Source organism: Homo sapiens, chromosome 19 (assembly GCF_000001405.40).
Source record: "Homo sapiens chromosome 19, GRCh38.p14 Primary Assembly".
Classification (NCBI taxonomy): domain Eukaryota; kingdom Metazoa; phylum Chordata; class Mammalia; order Primates; family Hominidae; genus Homo; species Homo sapiens.
Genome location: NC_000019.10, coordinates 58155199 through 58182618, shown reverse-complemented (window position 1 = coordinate 58182618; position 27420 = coordinate 58155199). Strand labels below are relative to the sequence as shown.

At 46.4% G+C, this 27420-nt stretch overlaps 1 long non-coding RNA gene across 1 annotated transcript; it reads right to left on the bottom strand.

Annotated features, from left to right (window-relative positions):
• LOC124904784 (uncharacterized) lies at window positions 5030–27406 on the bottom strand. Its single transcript, XR_007067360.1, has 2 exons — window positions 26642–27406; window positions 5030–6082 (listed from the first exon to the last, which is right to left on the bottom strand). It is a non-coding gene; the product is annotated as an uncharacterized LOC124904784 (long non-coding RNA).
• Window positions 27407–27420: the final 14 nt, after the last annotated feature.

Here is a 27420-nt window from a genome sequence, read left to right as displayed (position 1 = left end):
CGTCCACCCTAGTTCTGGGGATTAGAGGAAGGGAGTAGGAAGGTCAGGGGTGTGCAAGGGGAAGGAGGGAAGACTAGGTGGACCACAAGTGTGATGGGAATGAGGCCAAACGTCTACCCTAGTTCTGGAGAGATGATCAGGGCTAACTGTACCCCAGGCATTGGGGAGGAGGAGCAGGATCCTCTGCCTAGTGTCCCCCTGTGGTCCAGTTTGCTCCTGGAAGCTGAGGTGCTCATGTCTAGGGAGAGGAAACCTAAGTCTGTAGCTGTCCAGGACCTGGTGTGTGCCACCCATCCTTGGGCCCAGGGTGCTCTCATCTTCCTTGGGAGCTCAGGACAAGGAGGTATTCTCTTGGCTTCCTCAAGGACCGACATCTGGTGTTTTCTTATCTTCCTTAGGTCCCAGGTCCCAGTATGGTCTTGTCTTCTTGGGACCTGAGGGCCCTAATGATCTCTCTCAGTGCTCAGGACCCTGTGTCCTCTTTCTTGATATTTCCTGGCAGGTCTCAGCAGCCCTCTGCCTCCCTCTGGTGGTCGTGTACACTGCCTGCTAAACTTGTTCCACGGGTTGTTGGTTTTTTTGGTCACTGTGGAGGATCCAACCTCAGGCTACACATTGTTTAATTGTTGCTGTTAGTGTGTTGATTTTGGCATAGGAGTATTTACTCAGAGACTGTGCAGATATCTTATAGTCTAATAATATTTCATTGGATTTTTCGTGTCTATTATAGATACAACACCATCCCCAATTAATAAGTAATTTGATATCTTCTTTTTCCATATTTCAACTTTAAAAAATTAACATTGTATAGTCCTAGCTAGTATGACAGAGCTATGTTAAGTAGTCATGTTTACTAATAGTCTTGTTTTGTTCTGGATTTGAATAGGATACGTCTAGCCCTTCATAATCACAAGGAAGCAAACCCCCTTGGAAATTCTTTTTTTTCTTTCTTTTTTTTTTTCTTGAGACAGGGTCTTGCTCTGTCACCCCGACTGGAATGCATTGGTGCGATCACAGCTTACTGCAGCCTCCACCTCCTGGGCCCAAGTGATCCGCCCACCTTAGCCTCTCAAATAGCTGGGACAGGTGCACACCACCACACCTGGCTTTTTTTTTTTTGGAGACAGAGTCTTGCTCTGTCGCCCAGGCTGGAGTGAGGTGGCACAATCTCGGCTCACTGCAACCTCTGCTTCCTGGGTTCAAGCGATTTTCCTGCCTCAGCTGCCCAAGTAGCTTGGACTACAGGTGTGTGCCACCATGCCTGGCTAATTTTTGTATTTGTAGTAGAGACGGGGTTTCTCCATGTTAGCCAGCCTGGTCTCGAACTCCTGACCTCAGGCAGTCTGCCCACCTCAGCCTCCCAAAGTGCTGAGATTATAGGCATGAGCCACCCCGCCTGGCCTCTTTTGTACTTTTTTGTAGAGACAGAAACCTCACTATGTTGCCCAGGCAGGTGGAAATTCTTCTAATGATTTCTTTCTATTTATGTGGTATAGGATAAAACCTGATTTTTGATTAAAAGAATTTGTTTTTGAGACAGGGTCTTGTTCTGTTGCCCAGGCTGGAGAGCAGTGCTGCAGTCATGGCTTACTGCTGGCCCAACCTCCTGGGCTCAAGTGTTCCTCCCATCTCAGCTTTCCAAGTAGCTAGGACTGACTACTGGTGTGCATCACCACACCTGGCTAATTTTTAATAAATATTTGTGTAGAGATGAGGTCTCAGTGTGTTGTCAGGGCTGGTCTTGAACTCCTGGACTCAAGCAATCCTCCCGCCTTGGCCTCCCAAAGTGCTGGGATTGCAGGCGTGAGCCACCATGCCTGACCAAAGATGTTTTGTTTTTTTTTTTTTGTTTTGAGACAGAGTCTCGCTCTTTCGCTCAGGCTGGAGTGCAATGGCGTGATTTCGGCTCAACTGCAACCTCTGCCTCCCGGGTTCAAGTGATTCTCCCTGCCTCAGCCTCCTGAGTAGCCGGGCGTGCCACCATGCCCGGCTAATTTTTGTATTTTTAGTAGAGATGGGGATTTGCCATGTTGGCCAGGCTGGTCTCGAACTCCTGACCTCAGAGGATCCGCCCACCTCGGCCCCGCAAAGTGCTGGGATTACAGGCTTGAGCCACTGTGCCCAACCTAAAGATGGTTTTATATAAGCATATTATTGAAGATTGATTTATGAGAGCCATTTTAATTCAACTTTTAATAACTGCATACTCTTTTCCTGTTTAGCAAATTAAATATGCTGTTTATTGTAATTTGTAAAATAAAAATGACTTCTGAAGAAATGTTAACTATTAAACATGTAAAATGTTGAAAAAATTTATTCATCGTTGTTGGATTTAGACAGTGCCTCGATTGCTTGTTCAAAACCTTCTGAGCCAGATGTATTTTGGAATTCATGATCATTTGGATTTTAGTAGGATGGTAATGTATTTACACCATACAGTGTGTAAATCCCTAAGAGGTGTGGGGTAGCACCTGCCATCAAACACATGAGTATATCTGTAGCAAAATACAAGAAGATTTACACTAGGTGGAAGAGAGACAAAATATAAATAGCCTTGTTCATATAAATTTTGCAGACTCATAACAGGGAGAAATTTTCTGTTAGAAAATATCTGGAATTTTGAATTACATAGAAGGCATTATGGATCATAAGTGAAAATGTGTGTTGTAGAAATAGTAGTTATTTCATTCAATTGCAAAGTTTAATTTTTACTTTTTCTCTCTTAATATAGTCTGCATAGGGCCAGGTGCGGTGGCTCACACCTGTAATCCCAGCACTTTGGGAGGCTGAGGTGGGTGGATCACCTGAGGTCAGGAGTTCGAGACCAACCTGGCCAACATGGTGAAACCCCGTCTCTACTAAAGGGGGCTCCATCTCAAATATATATATATTCCACATAGTCAGGCATAGGTTTATTGAGATACTGAGTTATTTAAATATATTAATATTTTTCCATGTGCTTTTTTTTTTTGAGATGGAGTTTTGCTCTTGTTGCCCAGGCTGGAGTGCAATGGCACTGCAACCTCCGCCTCTGCCTCCCGGGTTCTAGCGGTTCTCCTGCGTCATTCTCCCTAATAGCTGAGATTACAGGCAGATGCCACGACGCCCAGCTAATTTTTATATTTTTAGTAGAGACAGGGTTTCACCATGTTGGTCAGGCTAGTTTCGAACTTCTGACCTCAGGTGATCTGCCCATTTTGGCCTCCCAAAGTGCTGGGATTACAGGAGTGAGCCACTGCCCCTGGCCCCATATGCTTTTTTAAATCAATGGTCTACTGTTGGTTTAAATTAAACAACATATGGCCGGGCGCAGTGGCTCACGCCTGTAATCCCAGCACTTTGGGAGGCCAAGGTGGGCAGATCATGAGGTCAGGAGATCGAGACCATCCTGGCTAACATGGTGAAACCCCGTCTCTACTAAAAATACAAAAATTAGCCGAGCATGGTGGCGGGCGCCTGTAGTCCCCGCTACTCGGGAGGCTGAGACAGGAGAATGGCATGATCCCAGGAGGTGGAGCTTTCAGTGAGCCGAGTTTGTGCCACTGCCTTCCAGCCTGGGTGACACAGCGAGACTCCATCTCAAAATAAATAAATGAATAAATAAATAATAAATAAACAACATATGACTAAGAATAAAATATGTAAAGCTATAAGTTGGCCCAAACCATTATGGCAGCTGGACCATTATGGCAGCTAGTGGTGTTCAACTGAGTCCTAAGCCAGCTGTGCAACTGAATCATGGACCCAGGATTTGATCTCCACTCATCATTCTCTGTCTCTGTTTCATCACACAGAGCATCTCAAATTGTTCCATGTAAAGGGGGATACATTTTAAAATCATTTTTAAAAAGAAGAAAGATGTGTCTTTCCATCTTTGAAATGTGAGCTTTGAGGACACCTCTCTGAACTTCTGAGAGCTTGGGAATGTAAGGTTACAGAAGTATGGATAAATTAATGTGCATTTGAACTATAAATTATTAATATCATAGCTTTTTTCCCAGAAAAGAGGCTCTTTGGTTACTGCTGCTCATTCATTCTTTGCCTGTTTTCCCCAACATCAAAGGTAAACTCACCATCAAGATAATCCACACTGGACATAACACATGGGGGAAAGGCTAAGAATTTGGGCTCTGAGCAGAGGCCGATCACAAACAACCTCCAGAAAACGGCCTGCCTCAAAGAGGAATGCAGGAAGTCCACAGAATGCCGGACAAACCAGTGAGGCAGGTTTGGAATAATCTAGTACATGCCTTTGCACCCTGTATCCGTTAAGGCATGTTTGGTTGGAAATAAATAAAAACCCAAATAACCAACGCCGTTTTCCCACAAAGAAAATCTGCAAGTATAGGTCTTTTCTGGTGCTGGTTAAGCTGCCCACTGAAGTCACGGAGGATGAGGCTCACTCTTTCCCTCTTGCTGTCCTTAGTGTGGGGCATCTTTTCTTTAGGCCATTAGGATGTAGACAAGGAACAAGCCAGCCACACACCTCCTGCTAGTCCTGAACACAACCCATCTCAATATTTCCTGCCTTAGGAAATCGACCTTTTCTTCTCTGATGAGAACTGACTCCTGTCTCTCTTCTTGAGTCTTTTTCTTGTTTATTCCTCCATTCAATAACCGTGGAGGATACACACATCGAAAATGACAGAAATCTGCTCTCAGCAATGCTGAACATTTTCCAGATATTCTTGTTACTACAAATAAAGTATGAGGCCAGGCTCATACCTATAATCCCAGCACTTTGGGAGGCCAAGGCGGGAGGGTCACTTGAGCTCAGGAGTTCAAGACCAGCCTGAGCAACGTAGCAAAACCTCATCTGTATTAAAGCAAAAAATGTAGCTGGATGTGGTGACACACTCCTGTAGTCTTAGCTACACAAGAGGCTGAAGTAGGAGGATCATGAGCTAAGGAAGTTGAAGCTGCAGTGAGCCCTGATTATGCCACTGCACTCCAGCCTGGGCGACAGAGCTTGACCTTGTCTTAATAAATCAATCAATCTGATATGAAATAGACCTGAGTGCTGTAATGATTGGGAAAGGAAACCTAAAAATGCATTTATTAACATTAACATACTTTAAAAACCCAATTGAAAACTTTAAAAATCAAGATTACAATAAGCTAGGCAGAATACAAAAGATGGACAAATCAACACCACAAAGCAATGCACAAAATCTATACCTGCAACAAGTATATTGAAATGGAGGTTCCTGTCACAATAGAATCATAAAAACAAAATGTCTGAAATTAGTTTGTTGGGAAATGTGAAGATAAGTTTTGGAAGAATTACAAGTAAACTTACATAAATGAAAATGCTTATCAAGTTCAAGGATAGATGGCCAATGAGTAAAGTGTCAGTTACCCAAATTCATCACTAGATACAATGAAAGAGCACATAGGATTATAACAGAGCCTTTTGGGAGGCTTGACCCTTGAACTTTCTTTTGTGCTTCCTCCTCCTCCAGTGTGAGAAAGAACTGATTGCTATTCTTCACATAACCAATTGGCTTCAAACTCATCTTAAGGAGAAACGCCTGCAGAAATGACTAGTTCAGGCATGTTCTTTGCTTTTGCCAATAAATTTGGACTTCAGAGCCATCAATAGCATACAGTTCTTATCACGGAGTTATTTAGGGGCCATGGCGAGGAAATCATTTTGTGGTTCAGCAAGTTGGCACAGTTTATTTTGAATGGAAGTGTGTGATTAATTCTGGGCACCTATTTTCACCCAGAGAGGACCCATGCCACACTCTATGAACAGAGAAAGAGAGACAGCATCCACATCTGCATGGATCACTTGAGTCCACCACATCCCAGAGTGTGCTTCCATGTCACACTCTTGGACTTGTGGAATATCTCCTTTCCATCGTTGCAGCCCCTTGGCTGTGCCTCTGAGGCTACCAGGCCCTTCCTTCTGACTGCAGTGGCCTCTGCTCTGCATGAGATGTCTGCCTTGCAGGAAGTGTCTCTGAGTCAGGGCAGCAGGGGCCATCCTGAGCCAGCAGAACTGGTTACCTGTGATGGCTGCTCCTAGGAGTCCCCAAACTGTGGCTTAGCATGACCAAACGAGACTTGAGAGCAAAAGCTGGTGGGGAGCAAGAAAGGGTTATCATGTAAGGTGTAGTTTTGGCAGAAGTGACAGTATGCCACCATTCATGATCTTAAATTTCACTGACTGGGCACAGTGGCTCACATCTGTAATCCCAGCACTTTGGGAGGCTGAGGTGGGTGGACTGCTTGAGGTCAGGAGTTCAAGACCAGCCTGGCTGATATGGTAAAAACCTTTCTCTACTAAAAATACAAAAATTAGCCAGGTGTGATGATGCATGCCTGTAATCCCAGCTTCTTGGGAGGCTGAGGCATAAGAATTAATTGAACCCAGGAGGCAGAGGTTGTAGTGAGCTGAGATTACACCACTGCACTCCAGCCTGGGTGAGAAAGCAAGACTGACTCAAAAAAAATGTTTGTTTGTTTGTTTTTCATTAAGTCCAGGCTGGGCACAGTGGCTCATGCCTGTAATCCCAACACTGTGAGACCAAGGTGGGAGGACTGCTTGAGCCCAGGAGTTCAAAACCAGCCTGGGGAACATACTTGCCCAGTTTTTTGTGTGAGATTCCATCCCTACGAAAACAAAACACTAGTTGCGTGTGGTGGTGTACACCTGTAATCCAGGTACTCGGGAGGCTGAGGTGGGAGGTTCGCCTGAGCCTGGGAAGTTGAGGCTGTAGTCGCACCACTACACTCCAGAGACTCTGTCTCAGCACAAATAAAACTAAAAATTACAAAATAAAAAATGTAATTAAATCCAGATGTAAGGGCTTCTACGGTTGACCCCTGGGCTCAAGTATGAGCTGTAACCAGTCACTGTCCCTCCTTTGGCTCAGCCCTCCCCAGTGTATGGCCTTGGTTCTTTCTGAGGCACACGTCTTTGCAGTCCTAAGATGGTGATTACAGTTCCAAGTCTAGCATTTAGCCGTGCAACATTTGGCTGAAGAAGTTGGCATCAGGAAGTGTATTTGCTTTCTATTGCCACTGTAGCAAATTACCAAAACTTTGTGTCTTAAAACAACAACAAATTTATTGTCTCACAGCTCTGGAGGTCAGAAGTCCAAAATGGGTCTTACTAGGCTAAAATAAAGATGTCAGCAGGACTGTGGTCCTTCTGGGGGGTCTAGGAGAGAATCCATTTCTTTGCCTTTTCCAGTTTCTAGAGACTACCTGCCTTCCTTGGCTTATGGCCCCTTCCTCCAATTTTAAAGCCAGCAGTGTAGCATTTTCAAATCTCTCATTCCATCATCACATCATCTACTCTGATTCCTGCCTCAAGTTATACAAAGACATTTGATTAAATAGGGCCCGCCCCAAGTAATTCAGAATAATCTCCCCATCTCAAGAATCTGGCCAGGCATGGTGGCTCATACCTGTAATCCCAACACTTCGGGAGGCTGAGGCAGGAAGATTGCTTGAGCCAAGGAGTTTGAGACTGGTCTGGGCAACAGAGCAAGACCGTGTCTTAACAACAACAAAAATAGCTGGGTGTGGTGGCATGCATCTGTGGTCCCAGCTACTCAGGAAGCTGAGGCAGGAGGATCGCTTGAGCCCAGGAGTTCCAGGCTACAGTGAGCCATGATCACACCACTGCACTCCAGCCTGGGTGACAGAGTGAGACCCTGTCTCTAAAACAAAAACAGATCCTTAATGGCATCTTCAATGTCCCCTTTGCCATGCGAAGGTAACATATGTATAGGTTCCAGGGTTTGGAATGAGGACATCTCTGAAGGAAAGGGGGCATTACTCTCCCTACCACAAAGAAGTAATACAACATTTTGGCCGGACGCAGTGGCTCACGCCTGTAATCCCAGCACTTTGGGAGGCTGAGGCGGGCAGATCACGAGGTCAGGCATTCGAGAACAGCCTGGTCAACACGGTGAAACCCCTTCTCTACTAAAAATACAAAAAATTAGCCGGGTGTGGTGGTGCGCGCCTGTAGTCCGAGCTACACAGGAGGCTGAGGCAGAAGAATCGCTTGAACCTGGGAGATGGAGGTTGCAGTGAGCCGAGATCGCGACACTGCACTCCAGCCTGGGCAACAGAGTGAGACTTTGTCTCAAAAAAAAAAAAAAAAAAAAAGTAATACAACATTTTCGGAAGACTTCTCTGTTGTTGACTCGCTCTGACCCTGTTAGCCAGGATTGACACATGCATCCATGTCCTGGCTGGGAGAAAAGCTGGAAAAGAGTGTAACTGGTTTTTTTGGCATCTGTAGAAGGCGCCAGACTGTGCTGCAATGAAGGTGGGTGGCACAGCCACAGTAGCTGGCACAAAAGTCTGCTTGGGTGGAGCCCATCTACCCCAGAGACCTCTCCTCACATTAAGTTATAAGGCCACAAACCAGATCCGGATGGAAGTTTCCGGACTTGCTGCCAGCAAAGATCTGGAACTGAGGGTCAACAGCTCATGCCTGCAATCCCAGCACTTTAGGAGGCTGAGGCAGGAGGATCACTTGAGGCCAGGAGTTAAAGACCAGCCTGGGCAACATAGTGAGACTCCATCTCTACCAAAAAAATTTAAAAATTAGCTGGGCATGGTGACATGTGCCTGTAATCCCAACTACTCAGGAGTCTTAGGTGCGAGGATTTCTCGAGCCCGGGAGATTAAGGCTGCAGTGAGTTATGATCAGGCCACTGCACTCCAGCCTGGGCAACAGAGTGAGACCCTGTCTCCTAAAAAAAAAAAAAAATGGAACTGAGTGAAGTCCCAACATCCAGGGAGCAGCTACCAGGACATGGGGACCCTGGTGGAGGATTGAATGGGGTGCTGGAAGGGAAAGATGGCATTTCGCTCAGGTAAGGGAGAAGTGTGAGCTCTCCCTTGGGTATAGGAGGGAAGCCAGAATTTCAAAACGTGACAGAGAGAGAGAGACAGAGAGACAGATTGTGAAATTGAGAGAAAAGTCTTTTTCACGTGAGGCTGCGCGGTGGCTCACGTCTGTAATCCCAGCACTTTTGGAGGCTGAGGTGGGCAAATCACCTGAGGTCGGGAGTTTCAGACCAGCCTGACCAACGTGGAGAAACCCCATCTCTACTAAAAATACAAAATTAGCCAGGCGTGGTGGCACATGACTGTAATCCCAGCTACTGGAGAGGCTGAGCAGGAGAATCACTTGAACCCGGGAGGCAGAGGTTGTGGTGAGCTGAGATCGCGCCATTGCACTCTAGCCTGGGCAATGCCCATCAAAAAAGAGTGAAACGCCATCTCAAAAAAAAAGAAAAAAAAAGATTCATTTGTGAGACCTTTCCACTCATCCCTTTCCTCAGATACACCCCAGAACACCCTCAGAACACCCCAGATACCCTTTTGGGCAGCTATGGGTGAAGCTGCCCCTCAATCTCAGCTCCAGTGGATGGCCCACTGGCCTCATTCTGTCTCCGTTGCTGCAGTGATTAATCCAGGGGCATGCAAGCACTCTGGTCCAAGCCAGTCAGTGCAAGGCACCCTCCTGTCCATGACAAGTGTCAAAGCAATGAACATGGACGGAGAGTGAAGCCCAGGACTTTGATTAAAAGTTAGGAGAGTGTGTTTGGCTGAAAAATGTCCCCCAAAGATGTCAGGCCTGAATTCTTGGAACCTATGAATGTTGCGTTATGTAGAGACAGGGGCTGCATATGTATTTAAAGATCTTGAGAGGGGAGATGATCCTGGATTGTGCATGTAATCACATGTATCTTTACAAGAGGGAGGCAGGGACAGATGTGACCACACATAGGCAGAAAAGGAGAAGGTGATGTGACCGTGGAGGCAGAGACTGGAGCTGTGCAGTCACAAGTCAAAACATGCCAGCAGGCCGGGCGCAGTGGCTCATGCTTGTAATCCCAGCACTTTGGGAGGCCGAGGCAGGCAGATCACCTGAAGCCAGGAGTTTGAGACCAGCCTGGCCAACATGATGAAACCCCGTCTCTACTAAAAATACAAAAGTTGGCTGGGCACAGTGGCTCATGCCTGTAATCCCAGCACTTTGGGAGGCTGAGGCGGGTGGATCACAAGGTCAGAAGTTCAAGACTAGCCTGGCCAAGATAGTGAAAACCCGTCTCTACTAAAAATACAAAAGTTAGCCAGGCATGGTGGCAGGCGCCTGTAATCCCAGCTACTCAGGAGGCTGAGGCAGGGAATTGCTTGAACCTGGGAGGCGGAGGTTGCAGTGAGCCAAAATCACACCACTGCACTCCAGCCTGGGTGACAGAGTAAGACTCCCTCTCAAAAAAATAAAAAAATAAAATAAAAATAGGCCGGGCGGGGTACCTCACGCTTGTAATCCCAACACTTTGGGAGGCCAAGGGGGGGTGGATCACGAGGTCAGGAGTTTGAGACCAGCCTGGCCAATATGATGAAACCCTGTCTCTACTAAAAATTTAAAAATTAACTGGACGTGGTGTTGCACGCCTGTAACCCCAGTTACTGGGGAGGCTGAGGCAGGAGACTGGCTTGAACTCAGGAGGCAGAGGTTGTAGTGAGCTGAGACGTGCTACTGCACTCCAGCCTGGGTGATAGAGCAAGACTCTGTCTCAAAAAATAAAAAAATAATAAAATTAAATTAAAAATAAAAATACAAAAATTACCTGGATGTGGTGACATGCGCATGTCATGCCAGCTAGTCGGGAGGCTAAGGCAGGAGAATCGCTTGAACCCGGGAGGGGGAGATTACAGTGAGCCAAGATCACACCACTGCACTCCAGCCTGGGCAACAGAGTAAGGCTCCGTCTCAAAAAAAAAAAAAAAAAAGCCAGCAGCCACCATAAGCTGGAAGAGGCAAGGAATGAATTCTCTCCTGGAGCCTCCAAGGCTTGAATTTGGCCCAGGTATGGATTTCATGCTTCCGGCCTCCAGAAATGAGAGAATCTATTTGTCTTACTTTAATATTTCTCTTATCTCTTGTTTTAAGACACTGAGTTTGTAGTAATTTGTTACAGTGGTGATAGGAAACTAATACAGAAAAAAAAAGCCCAGTCTCTTGAAAGAAGTTGAGCCATATTGGCCGGGCGTGGTGGCTCACACCTGTAATCCCAGCACTTTGGGAGGCTGAGGCGGGTGGATCACCTAAGGTCAGAAGTTCAAGACCAGCCTAGTCAACATGGTGAAACCCCCGTCTCTACTAAATATACAAAAATTAGCCGGGCGTGGTGGTGGGCGCCTGTAATCCCAGCTACTCGGGAGGCTGAGACAGGAGAATCGCTTGAACCCGGGAGGCAGAGGTTGCAGTGAGCCGAGATCGCGACATTGTACTCCAGCCAGGGCAACAAGAGTGAAACTTCATTCCAAAAAAAAAAAAAAAAAAAAAGAAGAAGCTGAGCCATAAGGCTGTCAGTGGGAGCCAATTTAAGAATAATCAATACTGCAGACCACTGAGGGGAAGGGTGGAAGGAAATTGAGTATTTGGAGACATTGTTGAGCTGCTGGCTCATACTGATCCTGAAGCTATTCTGGCTAACTCTCCAGGCATGTGAGTAAACATTATCTGATGACGTGGGTTAGCTGCTACCAGCCCAGCAAGCATCCTGACTCATAGCACAGCAGTGGCAGAGGCATTTGTTTTGTCTTTGTTTGGAGACTGTTTAAAATGGCAGCATAAGTCCTTTGGATCCCATCATCCCATCAGCTTGCATATAGGTCTTCTTTCCTTCTTTCTTTCCTTCTTTCTCTCTTTCCTTCTTTCTCTCCTTCTCTCTTCCCTCCTCTCTTCCCTCTATTCTTCCCTTCTTCCTTTCCTTTCCCTTCTCTCCCCTCCCCTCCCGTCTCCTCTCCTTTCCTTTCCTTCCTTAGATGGACTCTCACTCTGTCGCCAGGCTGGAGTGCAGTGGCGCAATATCGGTTCACTGCAACCTCTGCCTCCTGGGTTCAAGTGATTCTCCTGCCTTAGCCTCCCGAGTACCTGGGACTTCAGATGCTCGCCTCCATGCCCAGCTGATTTTTGTATTTTTAGTAGAGACGAGGTTTCACCATGTTAGTCAGGATGGTCTCCATCTCTTGATCTCACGATCCGCCCACCTTGGACTCCCAAAGTGCTGGGATTACAGGCGTGAGCCACTGTGCCCGGCCAGCTTGCATATAGTTTTAAAACTTTTATTTATTTCTTTCTTTATTTATTTTTGAGACAGAGTCTCACTCTGTCGCCCAGGCTGGAGTGCAGTGGCGCAATCTCGACTCACTGCAACCTCCACCTCCTGGATTCAAGCAATTCTCCTGCCTCAGCCTCCCAAGTAGCTGGGACTACAGGCGTGCACCGTCTCACCTGGCTAATTTTTGTATTTTTTTAGTAGAGACGGGGTTTCACCATGTTGGCCAGGATGGTCTTGATCTCCTGACTTCGTGATCCGCCCACCTCGGCCTCCCAAAGTGCTGAGATTACAAGCACGAGTCACCACGCCCGGCCGTTTTAAAACTTTTAAAATTAAAGTTTAGTCCAGTCACGGTGGCTCACACCTGTAATCCCAGTACTTTGGGAGGTCAAGGCATTAGGATCACTTGAGATCAGGAGTTCAAGACTAGCCTGGCCAACATGGTGAAACTCTGTCTCTACTAAAAATACAAAAACTAGCCAGGTGTGGTGGTGCTTGCTTGTAATCCCAGCTCCTCAGGTGGTTGAGGCAGGAGAATCACTTAAACCCAGGAGGCAGAGGCTGGAGTGAGCAGAGATCACACAACTGCACTCCAGCCTGGGCAACAGAGTGAGACTGTTGTCTCAAAAAATTAATTAATTAAATTAAAGTTTATATGTAACCTTTATATACATAAACTATATAAGCTTTAAACATATATATACACATAAACATATATATAGGCATAAAGTCCTCAACTTCACAACTTGATGAGTTTTTTTATATATGTCTAAATATATAAATATATAATGTCCATATATAAAAATCCATCACACAGGTCAACAGAAAATATATTTCCAAAACCCTGTACCACTTCCTGGTTAATATCTCCCAGAGTTAACCACTATCCTGATTATCATCATAAGTTTTTTTTCTGTCCTCAAACTTCATATAAATGGAATCATATAGTCTATGGTTTTCTGTGTCAACATAATGTGTTAGAGATTCATCCAAGTTGCTGCATGTATCAGTAGTTAATGTTTGGTAAATTGCTGAGTAGTATTCCACTATGGATGTACCACATTTTGTTTATACATTTTATTATTGATGGACTGCTGGGCTGTATCCAGTTTTGGCCCCTTATGACTAATGCTTCTATGAGTGTCCTTTTAGATGTCTTTTGGGGACATGGCTCATACTTCCATTGTAAGAAATTACTATTATGTTCTCTTGGGCAGTTTTTCCAGAAAGAATACAAATTTTGAATGCTAACAGGTCTGAAAATGCTTACTCTCTCCTCATATGTGTGAATGATATATTTGCTGAGCATCAAATCCTGAAATCAGAGTCTTTGTGTTTCTGGAATCTTCACTTATCTTCTAGTGTCCAGGGTTTCAGAAGAGAAACCAATGCTGCTTATACATACCCTGTGCTCTTTGTAAGGGATTTGCAATGAAACTTGTGAAGTTTGCACTAGTTTTGGAGTATGGGTACTTCACCAGACTATGATGTCTTTTTAACCCTGCCAAGACATTGGACATGCCCTTAGAAATGTGAAGATACGTACAACTCATTTTTTTTATTTTTTTGAGATGGAGTTTTGCTCTTGTCACCCAGGCTGGAGTGCAATGGCACAACCTTGGCTCACTGCAACCTCTACCTCCCGGGATCAACTGATTCTCCTGCCTTAGCCTCCCAAGTAGCTGGGATTACAGGCATGTGCCACCACACTCAGCTAATTTTTCTATTTTTACTAGAGACAGGGTTTCACCATGTTGGCCAGGCTTGTCTCAAACTCCTGACCTCAGGTGATCCTCCTGCCTCGGCCTCCCAAAATGCTGGGATTACAGGTGTGAGTCACCGTGCCTGGCCAACATACAACTCTTTATGATGCTTCTATTCAAGTAGATAGAAGAATGCTATTGGCAAAGTATTAGCAAGTTAGTATAAAGCTCTCTGATTTGTTTGGAGTGATAATATTTGGATTATGCAGAAAAAAATTGATAGCATATCCTTCAGCCCTCATCTAGGACTATCATAAAATTATACACATAAGGATCCCCATGATGCTAAAAGGTGTATGATTCCTGCACCATTCTTCAAGGTTGACGGTTCTTTTATTCATACGTGATGTAGAAAAATAGATACGCTGTTGCCATATGATTCCTGCACCATTCTTCAAGGTTGACGGTTCTTTTATTCATACGTGATGTAGAAAAACAGATACGCTGTTGCCACTGATAACATTTATGGGCAACCCGCTTGGGTCCCCTTCCACACTGTGGAAGCTTTGTTCTTTCGCTCTTTGCAATAAATCTTACTGTTGCTCACTCTTTAAAAAAAAAAAAATTTACATGTGATTACCTATGACAACCATTTCTCTTCTTTTCTTTTCTTTTAGACAGGGTCTCGTTTAGTCACCCAGGCTGGAGTGCAGTGGTACCATCTCAGCTCACTGTAGCCTTGACCCCCTCAAGCAGTCCTCACTTCCCAAGTAGCTGGGACTACAGGAATGCACCACCACGCACAGCTAATTTTTGTATTTTTATTAGAGACGGGGTTTCTCCATGTTGCACAGGCTGGTCTTGGACTCCTGAGCTCAAGTGATCCACCTGCCTTGCCCTCCAAAAGTGCTGGGATTACAGGTGTGAGCCTCTGTGCCCAGCCATGATTATCTATGGCAACCATTTTTTTTTTTTTTTTTGAGATGGAGTTTTGCTCTGTTGCCCGGGCTGGAGGGCAGTGGTGTGATCTTGGTTCACTGCAACCTCCACCTCCTGGGTTCAGCTATTCTCCTGCCTCAGCCTCCTGTGTAGCTGGGATTACAGGCATATGGGAGACATTTCTTTTTCTTTTTCTTTTTTTCTTGTTTTTTTTGAGACGGAGTCTTGCTCTGTCACCCAGGCTGGAGTGCAGTGGCACGATCTCGGCTTACAGCAAGCTCTGCCTCCTGGGTTCACACCATTCTCCTGCCTCAGCCTCCTGAGTAGCTGGGACTCCAGGCGCCCACCACCACACCCAGCTAATTTTTTTTTTTTGTATTTTTAGTAGAGACGGGGTTTCACGGTGCTAGCCAGGATGGTCTTGATCTCCTGACCTCGTGATCCACCCGCCTCGGACTCCCAAAGTGCTGGGATTACAGGCGTGAGCCACTGTGCCCAGCCGCATATGGCCAGACATTTCTATGAGACATTGTTCATCAGGCCTAGACCCTGAGTCCCCATTAAATGGTGTTTCTATGGCAAATTAGGGACATATGTAGAATAGAACTGCTTATCCCTGCTGATCTGTGGCTGCAGGGAGTCACAAGTTTGCAGTCTTGTTACATTCAGATACTTAAGAGTTAAAAAATAACTGGTGGCTTTTGCCTCCTTTATCCCTGATGTCAAATAAAATGGAATTCCAACCAATAGCTTTTCCACATTGATCTTTTTTCAATGAGTTTTTCTAATTTGTTTGAATTTCCTGGTGTCAAATAAGGTAAAAGCCATGGTTGAAAGCTTGCCAATACTGACTGCATTCATAGTGTTCTCCAGTATGAGTCCTCTTACGTTCAATAATATGAGAACAACTCCTGAATGCTCTTCCACGCAAATTACATGTATGGGGTTTTCCTCAGTATGAGTCCTCTGATGTCACATCATAAGGGCTAGGCTACGTCTGAAGCCTTTCCCACGATGACTGTATCCATCACTTTGCTCTCCAGTGTGTCTTCTGTGATTTTTGAGTAGTGGAGGAGCAAAGTGTAAAACCTTTCCCTGAATGATTCCCTTCATAAGGTGTCTCTATAGATTCTTAGCTATAGGGTAAAAGTGTTCACTTCTTTAGAAGAATTTCCTAAATTCACTGCAAATATATAATTTCCCACAAGTATAAATTGTCTCATATTGAATAAGGTATAATTTGTGTCTACAGCCTTTGCTACAGCGATTACATTTATAGTATTGTTCTCCTGTATAAGTTCTGAAACATACTGAAAGAAATATTTCTTAATAAAGACTCTCCAACACTCAACACATTTGTAAGGTCTATTTCCTGAGAGAGTTTGCTCATACATCAGTGGGGTTGAGCTCTGTTTAAAGACTTCTTTACACATACTACATTTATATGGTCTCTCTCCAGTATGACTTCTCTGATGTCAGAAAGTATTTACCATAAACAGGGATTTCTCACATTCAGAACATCTGGAGGGTTTGTCAACTGTGTGAGTGCTCTCAAAACAAAGATGAGAGGAGCTCTGAATACACTTTTCCACATTCCTTACATTCAACTCAACTCTCTCTAACATGAATTCGCTTACATTGACTGAGACTTGTGCTACACTTAAAAAATTTACTACGTATATTTCATATATAAGGCTTTTCTACACTGAACTGTTTGCAAGTCTAAGAAGTTGAGTGTTTTGACCAAAAGCATTCCCAAAATCATAATTTTCAGGGGTTTTTCCCTGTGCATTTATGGTTTATTAAATCTGAATGTTGTTTTACAATGAGTCATGTATGTAGTGGTATTCATTGATAAGAATATTGTTTAGTGGGCCAGGCACGGTGGCTCACGCCTGTAGTCCCAACATTTTGAGAGGCCAACGTGGGTGGATCACAAGGTCAGGAGTTCAAGACCAGCCTGGCCAAGATGGCGACACCCCTGTCTCTACTAAAAATACAAAAATTAGCCAGGTGTGGTGGCGGGTGCCTGAATCCCAGCTACTTGAGAGGCCGAGGCAGAGAATTGCTTGAACCCAGGAGGTGAAGGTCGCAGTGAGCCAAGATCATGCCATTGCACTCCAGCCTGGGTGACAGAATGAGACTCTGTCTCAAAAAACAAAAACAAGGCCAGGCGCGGTGGCTCATGCCTGTAATGGCAGCACTTTGGGAGGCCAAGGAGGGTGGATCATGAGGTCAGGAGATCGAGACCATCCTGACTAACACGGTGAAACCCCGTCTCTACTAAAAATACAAAAAATTAGCTGGGTGTGGTGGCGCGCGCTTGTAGTCCCAGCTACTCTGGAAGCTGAGGCAGGAGAATGGCATGAACCCGGGAGGCAGAGCTCGCAGTGACCTGAGATCCTGCCACTGCACTCCAGCCTGGGTGACAGAGCAAGACTCTGTCTCAAAAACAAAACAAAACAAAACAAAAAAGAATATTGTTTAGTGGAAGAAGGCTTGAATTCTACTTAACATTAGCTGTGCATTTCTTATTCTTGCAACCTCATTCCTGAATCAGTGTTCCTCAAGCATCATTTGTTTGACTCATCTCTCCTGGTCCTCCTTCTGCTTCTCTAAGTGGACCTTACAGTCCTGGTTTCTTCCAAATGTGAAGAAATGAAGCTCATTCTTTGTGAATCTTTCCACTTTCAGGATGGCATTTTTGTTGTTGTTGTTTTTATTTTGTTTTGTTTTGTTTTGAGACGGAGTCGTCCTCTGTCACCCAGGCTGGAGGGCAGTGGCGCAGTCTCGGCTTACTGCAACCTCTGCCTCCTGGGTTCAAACAATTCTCCTGCCTTAGCCTCCCAGGTAGCTGGGATTACAGGTACACGCCACCATGCCCAGCCAATTTTTGTATTTTTTTTTTAGTAGAGACGGGGTTTCACCGTGTTGGCCAAGCTGGTCTCAAACTCCTGACCTTGTGATCCACCCACCTCAGTCTCCCAAAGTGCTCGGATTTCAGGCATGAGCCACCACGCCTGGCCTGGCATATGGTTTTCAGACAAATGTCTTCCTTCCTGGTTATCTCTTTGCTTTTGATGATAGTTTCACAATCCAAAAAAAAAAAAAAACCAGATACATTTGTACATCCCCTACAGTTGTTCACTGAATAAATTATGGCTTGTTCAATCAATTAAAAAACCATAATTTTAAGAGCTGGAGAGAAAATGCTGGTATTAAGCACATCGAAAGCATGTTGATTTGTTTCCAAATCTGTCTTGCCAGGAGCGACTGAGCAAATAAGAATAAGCCCAGTCTCTCCAGGTGGCTGATAGGAAAATAGATCAATCTCTGCTAGTAGTCATTTCTCACTCTCTTTTCTTTTTCTTTCTTTCTTTTTTTTTTTTTTTCTTTTGAGACGGAGTCTCGCTCTGTCGCCCAGGCTGGAGTGCAGTGGCACGATCTTGGCTCACTGCAAGCTCTGCCTCCTGGGTTCACGCCATTCTCCTGCCTCAGCCTCCTGAGTAGCTGGGACTACAGGCGCCCGCCACCATGCCCAGCTAATTTTTTGTATTTTTAGTAGAGACGGGATTTCACCATGTTAGCCAGGATGGTCTCGATCTCCCAACCTCGTGATCCACCAGCCTCAGCGTCCCAAAGTGCTGGGATTACAGGCGTGAGCCACCGCGCCCAGTCTCCTCACGCTGTTTTCAAGATGCTCTTCTGGACCCCAGTGCTTTGGGGGCTTGTCCTGAGCCCTCTTCTCTCATCCACCAGTATGGTCTGTTTTATTCTGCTGGCTTCAAACACCATCTGAACATTGATGAATCACAATTTGTAGCTTCATTCCAGATTCTTTTCTGAGCATGGACATATTTCACCATATTCATACTGCCTGCTGGGAGTGTCTATTCATTTTACAACCATACCTTGTCAGTACTGAGTTCTACTCTCATGCTCTACCTCCTCTTCTCCCAGGTTTCTCCTGTCCATGGATTGCATCACAGTTGCTCATGCCAGTAGCCATGGACCCTTCCACTTCCATTTTGAATCAATCACCAAATTCTGAGCCCACCTTAAACATACATTGAAATGATCCCCTTTTTACTTCCATTGACTCATCCGGTTCCAAGTCATGACACTTCTTGACTGAACTACACAGTAGTGCTTTCATCATCATCTCCTCTTCTGTTCATGACACCATCCCAACACTCAACCAGTGCAACCGTTCAAACATGGAAATCAGGCCAGGTGTGGTGGCTCACCCTTGTAATACCAGCACTTTGGGAGGCCAAGGCAGGAAGATCACTTGAGTTCAGAAGTTCGAGACCAGCCTGGACAACACAGTGAGACCCCCGTCTCTACAAAAAAAGTTTTTTTTTAATTAGCCGGGTGTGGTGGTGTGCACTTATGATTTCGGCTACTTGGAAGGCTGAGGTGGGGGGATTTCTTGAGCCCAGGATTCCAAGGTTGCAGCAAGCTATGATTGCACCACTGCACACCAGCCTGGGTGACACAGCAAGACCCTGTCTCTTTTATTTATTTATTTATTTTTTTTATTATTTTTATTTATATATACTTTAAGTTTTAGGGTACATGTGCACAACGTGCAGGTTAGTTACATATGTACACATGTGCCACGTTGGTGTGCTGCACCCATTAACTTGTCATTTAACATTAGGTATATCTCCTAATGCTATCCCTCCCCCCTCTCCCGACCCTGTCTCTCTTAAAATGTAAACTAGATCATTTAATTCTCTTGCTTAAATTCAACGAGTGACTTCTCATTGCTCTCAAATATTTATGCTTTTTTGTAGAACATCCACATTCACTATGCTGATTGCTACATAAAGGCAGATTCCAAATCTGTTTGCTAATTTCCTTGGCAACAGTACCTAGCATGGCATCACCGTGACTGTTTCTTGGCCAATTGTTTGAGGTGACTTGTATCCCTCACCATTCGACTGTTATGTTGATGACTTCCAAGTCGAGATCACTAACCCTCAGCTTCTGAATTTCCAAAGCCTGTGACTAAATGCCTGCTGGAGATCTTCCCCCACACATCAGGCAGTGCCCTTCTAATGGTGCAAATTAGATCATGTCACTCCCGAGGTTAACTCCACCCCTTCTGGTTTCCTGTCTCCTTCAGGGTGAAGCCCAAACTCCTAATCAAGGTGCACAAGGCCTGGCACATGTCAGCCAGATTTCCCCTGACTCTTCTGCTCTCTCCCCTTGCCCATCCATTCTGTCTTCACTGCCTGCTATTGTTTTTTTTTTTTCCTTGGGGAACGAGTCTCGCTGTCACCCAGGCTGGAGTGCAATGGCGTGATCTTGGCTCACTGCAACCTCCACCTCCTGGGGTCAAGCAATTCTCGTGCCTCAGCCTCCCAGGTGGCTGGGATTACAGGCACGCGCCACCATGCCCAGCTAATTTTTGTATTTTTAGTAGAGATGGGTTTCACCATACTGGCCAGGCGGGTCTCAAACTCCTGACCTCAAGTGATCCGTCGGCCTCGACCTCCCAAAGTGCTGGGATTACAGGCATGAGCCACTCACTGTGCCTGGCTGGTTTCTTGATTGTACCAAATTCTCTCCACCTCAGAGCCTTTGCTAGTGCTCTCCTTCTACCAAAATGCTCTTCCTCAGTATGTTGGCTCCTTCTTTTACTTGAGAAGTCAGATTAACATTGACCTCCTCAGAGAGGCCTTCTTGGACTGTGTAGTGAGCTCAGTAATGGTTTCCAAAAGATGTCCACATCCTCATCCCTAGAACCTCGTGAATGTTACTTCACATGGCAAAAGAATTTTTACAGATGTGAATAAATTAGGAATCTTGAGATACAGAGATTATCCTGGATTATCTGAGTGGGCCCAGTGTATTCACAAGGATACTTAAATGTGGAAGAGGAAGATAGAAGAGTCAGAATCAGAAAACGAGTTTTGATGATGGAAGCAGAGGTTGGAGTGACTCAGGGCCATAGACCTAGCAATGTAAGTGTCCTTTAGAAGCTGGAAAATGGAAGGCATGTATTCTCCACTCATGCCTCCCAAAGGAAAGCCAACCCATTTTGGATTTCTGACCTCCAGAACTATAAGATAATAACTTTATTTTGTTTTAAGCCACTAAATCTGTGGTAATTTGTTACTGCTAGGAGTCAGCAAACTATAGTTTCCAGGTCTGGTCCCGTCTGTTGCCTTTTTGGGGAGGGGATGGCTTATGAACTAAGAGTAGTTTTTATATTTTTTAAAATTCTTTTTTTTGTTGTTTTGGCTGGTCAAACGAAGCAGTGGGAGTGGAGAAGAACAAAGAAATCTGTAACTGGTTGTGATCAATTAATTGTAGTTTTTACATCTTTTAATAATTGAAAATAAAGGAATAATTATATTTTGTGATGTGAAAATTATATGAAATTCAAATTTCAGTGTCCATGAAGTTTTTTGTTTGTTTGTTTGTTTGTTTGAGACGGAGTCTCACTCTGTCACCCAGGCTGGAGTGCAGTGGCACGATCTCAGCTCACTGCAACCTCCACCTCCTGGGTTCACTCCATTCTCCTGCCTCAGCTTCCCGAGTAGCTGGGACTACAGGCGCCCACCACCACGCCTGGCTAATTTTTTGTATTTTTAGTAGAGACAGGGTTTCACCGTGTTAGCCGGGATGGTCTCAATCTCCTGACCTCGTGATCCGCCCACCTTGGCCTCCCAAAGTGCTAGGATTACAGACGTGAGCCACCGCGCCTGGCCCATAAAGTTTTTTTATTTTTATTTTTGTAGGGATGGGGTGTCACTTTGTTGCTCAGGCTGGTCTTGAACTCCTGGGTTTAAGTGATCCTCCCACCTTGGCCCCCAAAAGTGTTGGGATTACAGGTGTGAGCCACCACACTCAACTGTCCATAGGTTTTACTGAAATACAGCTCTGCCCATGTATTATGTATAGTCAATAGCTGCTGTTGTGCTACAACAAGGTTGACAGTTGCAACAGAGACCATATAGTCCCCCAAACCTAAAATATTTACTGTCTGGTCCTTTACAGAAAAAGTTGTCTTCCCTTGTTGTAAGCTGCTATGTTTTTGTTTTTTGTTTTTGTTTTTGTTTTTGTTTTTGAGACGGAGTCTCGCTCTGTCGCCCAGGCTGGAGTGCAGTGGCGTGATCTCGGCTCACTGCAAGCTCCGCCTCCCGGGTTCACGCCATTCTCCTGCCTCAGCCTCTGAGTAGCTGGGACCACAGGCGCCTGTCACCACGCCCGGCTAATTTTTTGTATTTTTAGTAGAGATGGGGTTTCACTATGTTAGCCAGGATGGTCTCAATCTCCTGACCTCGTGATCTGCCTGCCTCGGCCTCCGAAAGTGCTGGGATTACAGGCGTGAGCCACGGCGCCTGGCCCGTTTTTGTTTTTGTGACAGTCTCACTCTGTTGCCCAGGCTGGAGTGCAATGGTGCAATCTTGGCTCACTGCAACCGCTGCTTCTGGGGTTCAAATGATTCTCCTGCCCTGGCCTCCCGAGTAGCTGGAATTACAGGTGCGCAACACCATGCTTTGCTAATTTATTTTAGTAGAGACAGGGTTTCACCACGTTGGCCAGGCTGGTCTTGAGCCACCGTGCCTGGCCTAAGCAGCTATGTTTTGGGGTAATTTCTTACAAAGCAGTGGATAATTAACACAGAACCTCTTCCTGTTCCTTGACTTGGGACTAAAACACATGAGACTAGCTTTAGCAAACAGGATGTTAGCTCATGTGGTGTGAATAGAGGTGTGAGGTATGCCCCCCAATAAACCTTTTGCAGTTCCAACTCCTTCTCAGTATCTACTGATCTTTTTTTTTTTTTTTTTTTTTTTTTTTTGAGACGGAGTCTCGCTCTGTCGCCCAGGCCGGACTGCGGACTGCAGTGGCGCAATCTCGGCTCACTGCAAGCTCCGCTTCCCGGGTTCACGCCATTCTCCTGCCTCAGCCTCCCAAGTAACTGGGACTATAAGTGCACACCACCAAGCCTGGCTAAACAAAAAAAATTTTTTTTTAAATTAGCCAGGCATGGCCAGGCACGGTGGCTCACGCCTGTAATCCCAGCACTTTGGGAGGCCGAAGCAGGCAGATCATTTGAGGTCAGGAGTTCGAGACCAGCTTGACCTACATAGTGAAACCCCGTCTCTACTAAAATACAAAAATTAGCCCGGCGTGGTGGCAGGCGCCTGTAATCGCAGCTACTCATGAGGCTGAGGCAGGAGAATCGCTTGAACCCAGGGGGCAGAGGTTGCAGTGAGCCGAGATCGCACCACTGCACTCCAGCTTGGGCGACAGAGTAAGACTCCCTCTCAAAAAAAAAAAAAAAAAAAAATTAACCAGGCATGGTGGTGCATATGCCTGTAATCCCAGCTATTTGAGATGCTGAGGCAGGAGAAATGCTTGAGCCCAGGAAGTTAAGGCTGTAGTAAAGTATGATTGCGCCACTGCACTACAGCCTGAATGACAAAGCGAGGTGAGGTTCTGTCTAAATAAATAAATAAATAAGAAGGCTTACTTACAGACTCTTGCTGGTGGCCTGAAAAAAGGAAGCTACTGTGAGCTCTACAGCTGCAAAGAAATGGATTCAGGCGGGGCGCGGTGGCTCAGGCTTGTAATCCCAACACTTTTGGAGGCCGAGGCAGGTGGATCACCTGACGTCAGGAGTTCGAGACCACCCTCAACACGGAGAAACCCTGTCTCTACTAAAAATACAAAATTAGCCAAGCATGGTGGTGCATGACTATAATCCCAGCTACTCAAGAGGCTGAAGCAGGAGAATTGCTTGAACCTGGGAGGCAGAGGTTGCGGTGAACCGAGATCGCGCCACTGCACTCCAGCCTGGGCAACAAGAGCTAAACTCCGTCTCATAAAAAAAAAAAAAAAAGAAAGAAAAAAAAGAAATGGATTCAGCCAACTGAATGAACATGAAAGTAGATACTTCTATAATCAAGTCTACAGATGGGAATGAAGCCAGCTGACAGCTTGATTGCTACCTCTGGAGATCCTAAACAGAGGGCCTAGTTAAGCTATGCCCAGACTCTTGACTCACAAGAACACTGAGATAATAAATACACGTGGCTTTCCCCACGAGGCGGAGCCCGCAGTGAGCCGAGATCGTGACACTGCACTCCAGCCTGGGCAACAGAGCACAACTCCATCTCCAAAAAAAAGAAAAAAAATGTGGTTTTTAAGCTGGTAATTTTGTGGTAAGTTGTTACACAAAAACAGTGAACAGGCCAGGCGCAGTGGCTCACGCCTGTAATCCTAGCACTTTGGGAGGCCGAGGCAGGCAGATCACGAGGTCAGGAGTTTTGAGACCAACCTGGCCAATATGGTGAAACTCCGTCTCTACTAAAAATACAAAAAATAGCAGGGTGTGGTGATGCGCCCCTATAGTCCCAGGTACTCGGGAGGCTGAGGCAAAAAAATTGCTTGAACCCAGGAGGCGGAGGTTGCAGTGAGCTGAGATTGTGCGTGTCTGGAAATGGTGGGTTCTTAGTCTCACTGACTTCAAGAATGAACCCACAGACCCTTGCAGTGAGTGTTACAGTTCTTAAAAGCAGCGTCTCTGGAATTTGTTTCTTCTGATGTTTGGATGTGTTCGGAGTCTCTTCCTTCTGGTGGCTTCATGGTCTCCTTGGCTTAGGAGTGAAGCTGCAAACCTTGGTATTGACTGTTACAGCTCATAAATGCAATGCGGACCCAAAGAGCAAGCAGCAGCAAGATATATTGCAAACAGCCAAACAACAAAGCCTCAACCATGTGGATGCAGACCCCAACACGTTACCACTGGGGGCTCGGGCAGCCTGCTTTTATTCCCTTATCTGGCCCCACCCACATCCTGCTGATTGGTCCATTTTACAGAGAGCTGATTGGTCCATTTTGACAGGGTGCTGATTGGTGCATTTACAATCCCTGAGCTAGACACAAAAATTCTCCAAGTCCCCACTAGATTAGCTAAACACAGAGCACTGATTGGTGCATCCACAAACTCCTGAGCTAGACACACAGTGCTGATTGGTGTGTTTACAAACCTTGAGCTAGATACAGAGTGCTGACTGGTGTATTTACAATCCCTTAGCTAGACATAAAGGTTCTCCAAGTCCCTACTAGACTCAGGAGCCCAGCTGGCTTCACCCAGTGGATCCCGCACAGGGCCGCAGGTGGAGCTGCCTGCCAGTCTCGCGCCTTGCGCCCGCATTCCGCAGCTCTTGGGCAGTTGATGGGACCTGGCGCTGTGGAGCAGGGGGCGACGCTCGTCGGGGAGGCTCCGGCCGCGCAGGAGCCCAGGGCGGGGGTTGCGGGGAGGCTCAGGCATGGCGGCCTGCAGGTCCCGAGCCCTGCCACGCGGGGAGGCAGCTAAGTCCCGGCGAGAAATCGAGCGCAGCGCCGGTGGGCCAGCACTGCTGGGGGACCCAGCGCACCCTCCGCAGCTGCTGGCCCGGGTGGTAAGCCCCTCACTGCCCGGGGCTGGCGGGGCCGGCTGGCCACTCAGAGTGCGGGGCCCGCCCAGCCCACGCCCATCCGGAACTCTAGCTGGCCCGCAAGCGCAGCGCGCGCAGCCCAGGTTCCCGCCCGCGCCTCCTCCCTCCACACCTCCCGGCAAGCTGAGGGAGCAGGCTCCGGCCTCAACCAGCCCAGACAGGGGCTCCACAGCGCAGTGGCAGGCTGAAGGGCTACCCGAGCATGGCCAGAGCATACGCCGAGGCTAAGGAGGCACCAAGAGCGAGCGAGGGCTGCCAGCACGCTGTCACCTCTCAGTGCCACTGCACTCCAGCCTGGGCAGCAGAGCAAGACTCCGTCTTAAACAAACAAACAACAACAGAAAACAACAGAGACATGCAAAGCTTAGAGAACATGAGTATCTGCTGGGTGAACGTGGGTGGCGGTGACCTTCTCACACTGATGGTAGAAGACGTATGAAAGGAAATTTCATAATATATAACTAAAACTATTTTAAATATTTATGCCATTCTCGCTAGCATCTAGGAATTGTACTTGTAGCAGTTCTTCCGAAATGTGCTTCAGTAATTAAACAGTGGATTTGCATTGAAGGTTTACCATGCAGAGCACACAGGTATTAGCTAATACAGTCCTCATACATCCCTGTATGTTATACTCTACTCTGATGGTTAAATGACAAAATTTTAGAGAAATGAAATCTTTTGACTCAGTTTATGTAACTAGAAAGCATATGTGCTAATAAGCAGATGCTAATTGGCTTGAATCCATTAGTCACTCATTTTTATTTTTTTCTTGTGAGACAGGGTCTCACTGTGTCACCTGGGCTGAAGTGCAATCACAGCTCACTGCAGGCTTGATCTCCTGTGCTCCAGTGATTCTCCTGCCTCAGCCTCTCAAAGTGTGAGATTACAAGCATGAGCCTCCACGGCTGGCCCATAGTCACTCAATCTCCTGTTTAATTACTATCGAAATAAATGCAATAATGGATACTTGGATCAAGCACATATTGTCGAATATTAATTATCTAACCCAGGGCCTGGGTACGTGGGTGTTCACACAATTTTTTTTTTCTTGTGAGACAGGGTCTCGCTCTGTCGTCCAGGCTGGAGTGCAGTGGTACAATCATTCCTCAACATCCCCGGGCTCAAGGGATCCTCCCGCCTCAGACTCCTGAGTAGCTGGGACTACAGGCGCGCGCCACGAAGCCCGGTTAATTTTTTAAATTTTTTTGTAGAGACGAGTTCTCACTATGTTGCCCAGACTGGTCTCAAACTCCTGAGCTCAAGCGACCCTCCCTTCCCAGCCTCCCAAAGTGCAGAAAGTACAGGCGTGAGCCACTGTGCCAGGCCCACACAATCGTTTCAAATTTTCTGCATGTTTGAAAATGTTCTTAATAAAATGTGGGGGTAAGATAAATGCAATATTTATCAATTTTGCAGTTCTTACCTCTTTGGCTGAGGGAATTGCTTGCTCCTCAGGGACTCTTTCTTTCTCTTTTCTTCCTTCCTTCCTTCCTCCCTTCCTCTCTCTCTTTCTCCCTTTCTCCCTTTCTTTTGAGACTGAGTTTCGCTCTTGTTGCCCAGGCTGGAGTGCAATGGCACGATCTAGGCTCACCGCAACCTCCGCCTCCCGGGTTCAAGCGATTCTCTTGCCTCAGCCTTCCTGAGTAGCTGGGATTACAGGTGCCCGCCACCACGCCCGGCTAATTTTTTGTATTTTTAGTAGACGGGGTTTCACCATGTTGGCCAGGCTAGTCTTGAACTCCTGACCTCAGGAGATCCGCCCACCTCGGCCTCCCAAAGCGCTAGGATTACAGGCGTGAGCCACTGCGCTCGGCCCTCCTCAGGGAGTTTCAAAACTAACTGTCACAAAGCCACTGGTTTTCTCTGTATTAATAAAAAAAACCTGGCAAGAACGCCCAGGATCCGAAAGTGAGCTTCAGTCTCAAGACAGTCAGCGACCGCCCTCCGGGCCAGCGTCGGGGCACTGAGGGGCCTCTGGAAAGTGAATCACAGGGAGCACCGCGGGGTTTCAGGATTTTGGCTGTCCGCTGCCCAAGCCTTGGCATCACGGGCGTCTTTCCCTCTCACGTTGGGGTCCCTTCAAGGTCGGCGCCAGGTATCCTCCCAGAAAACCTGCACACCGCAACGCCCAGCACCCCCACAGCCTCCCTGCTGCCACTGGGGGGCGCCATCGTCGCGGCTAACGCAACCCGAGGGCGGAAG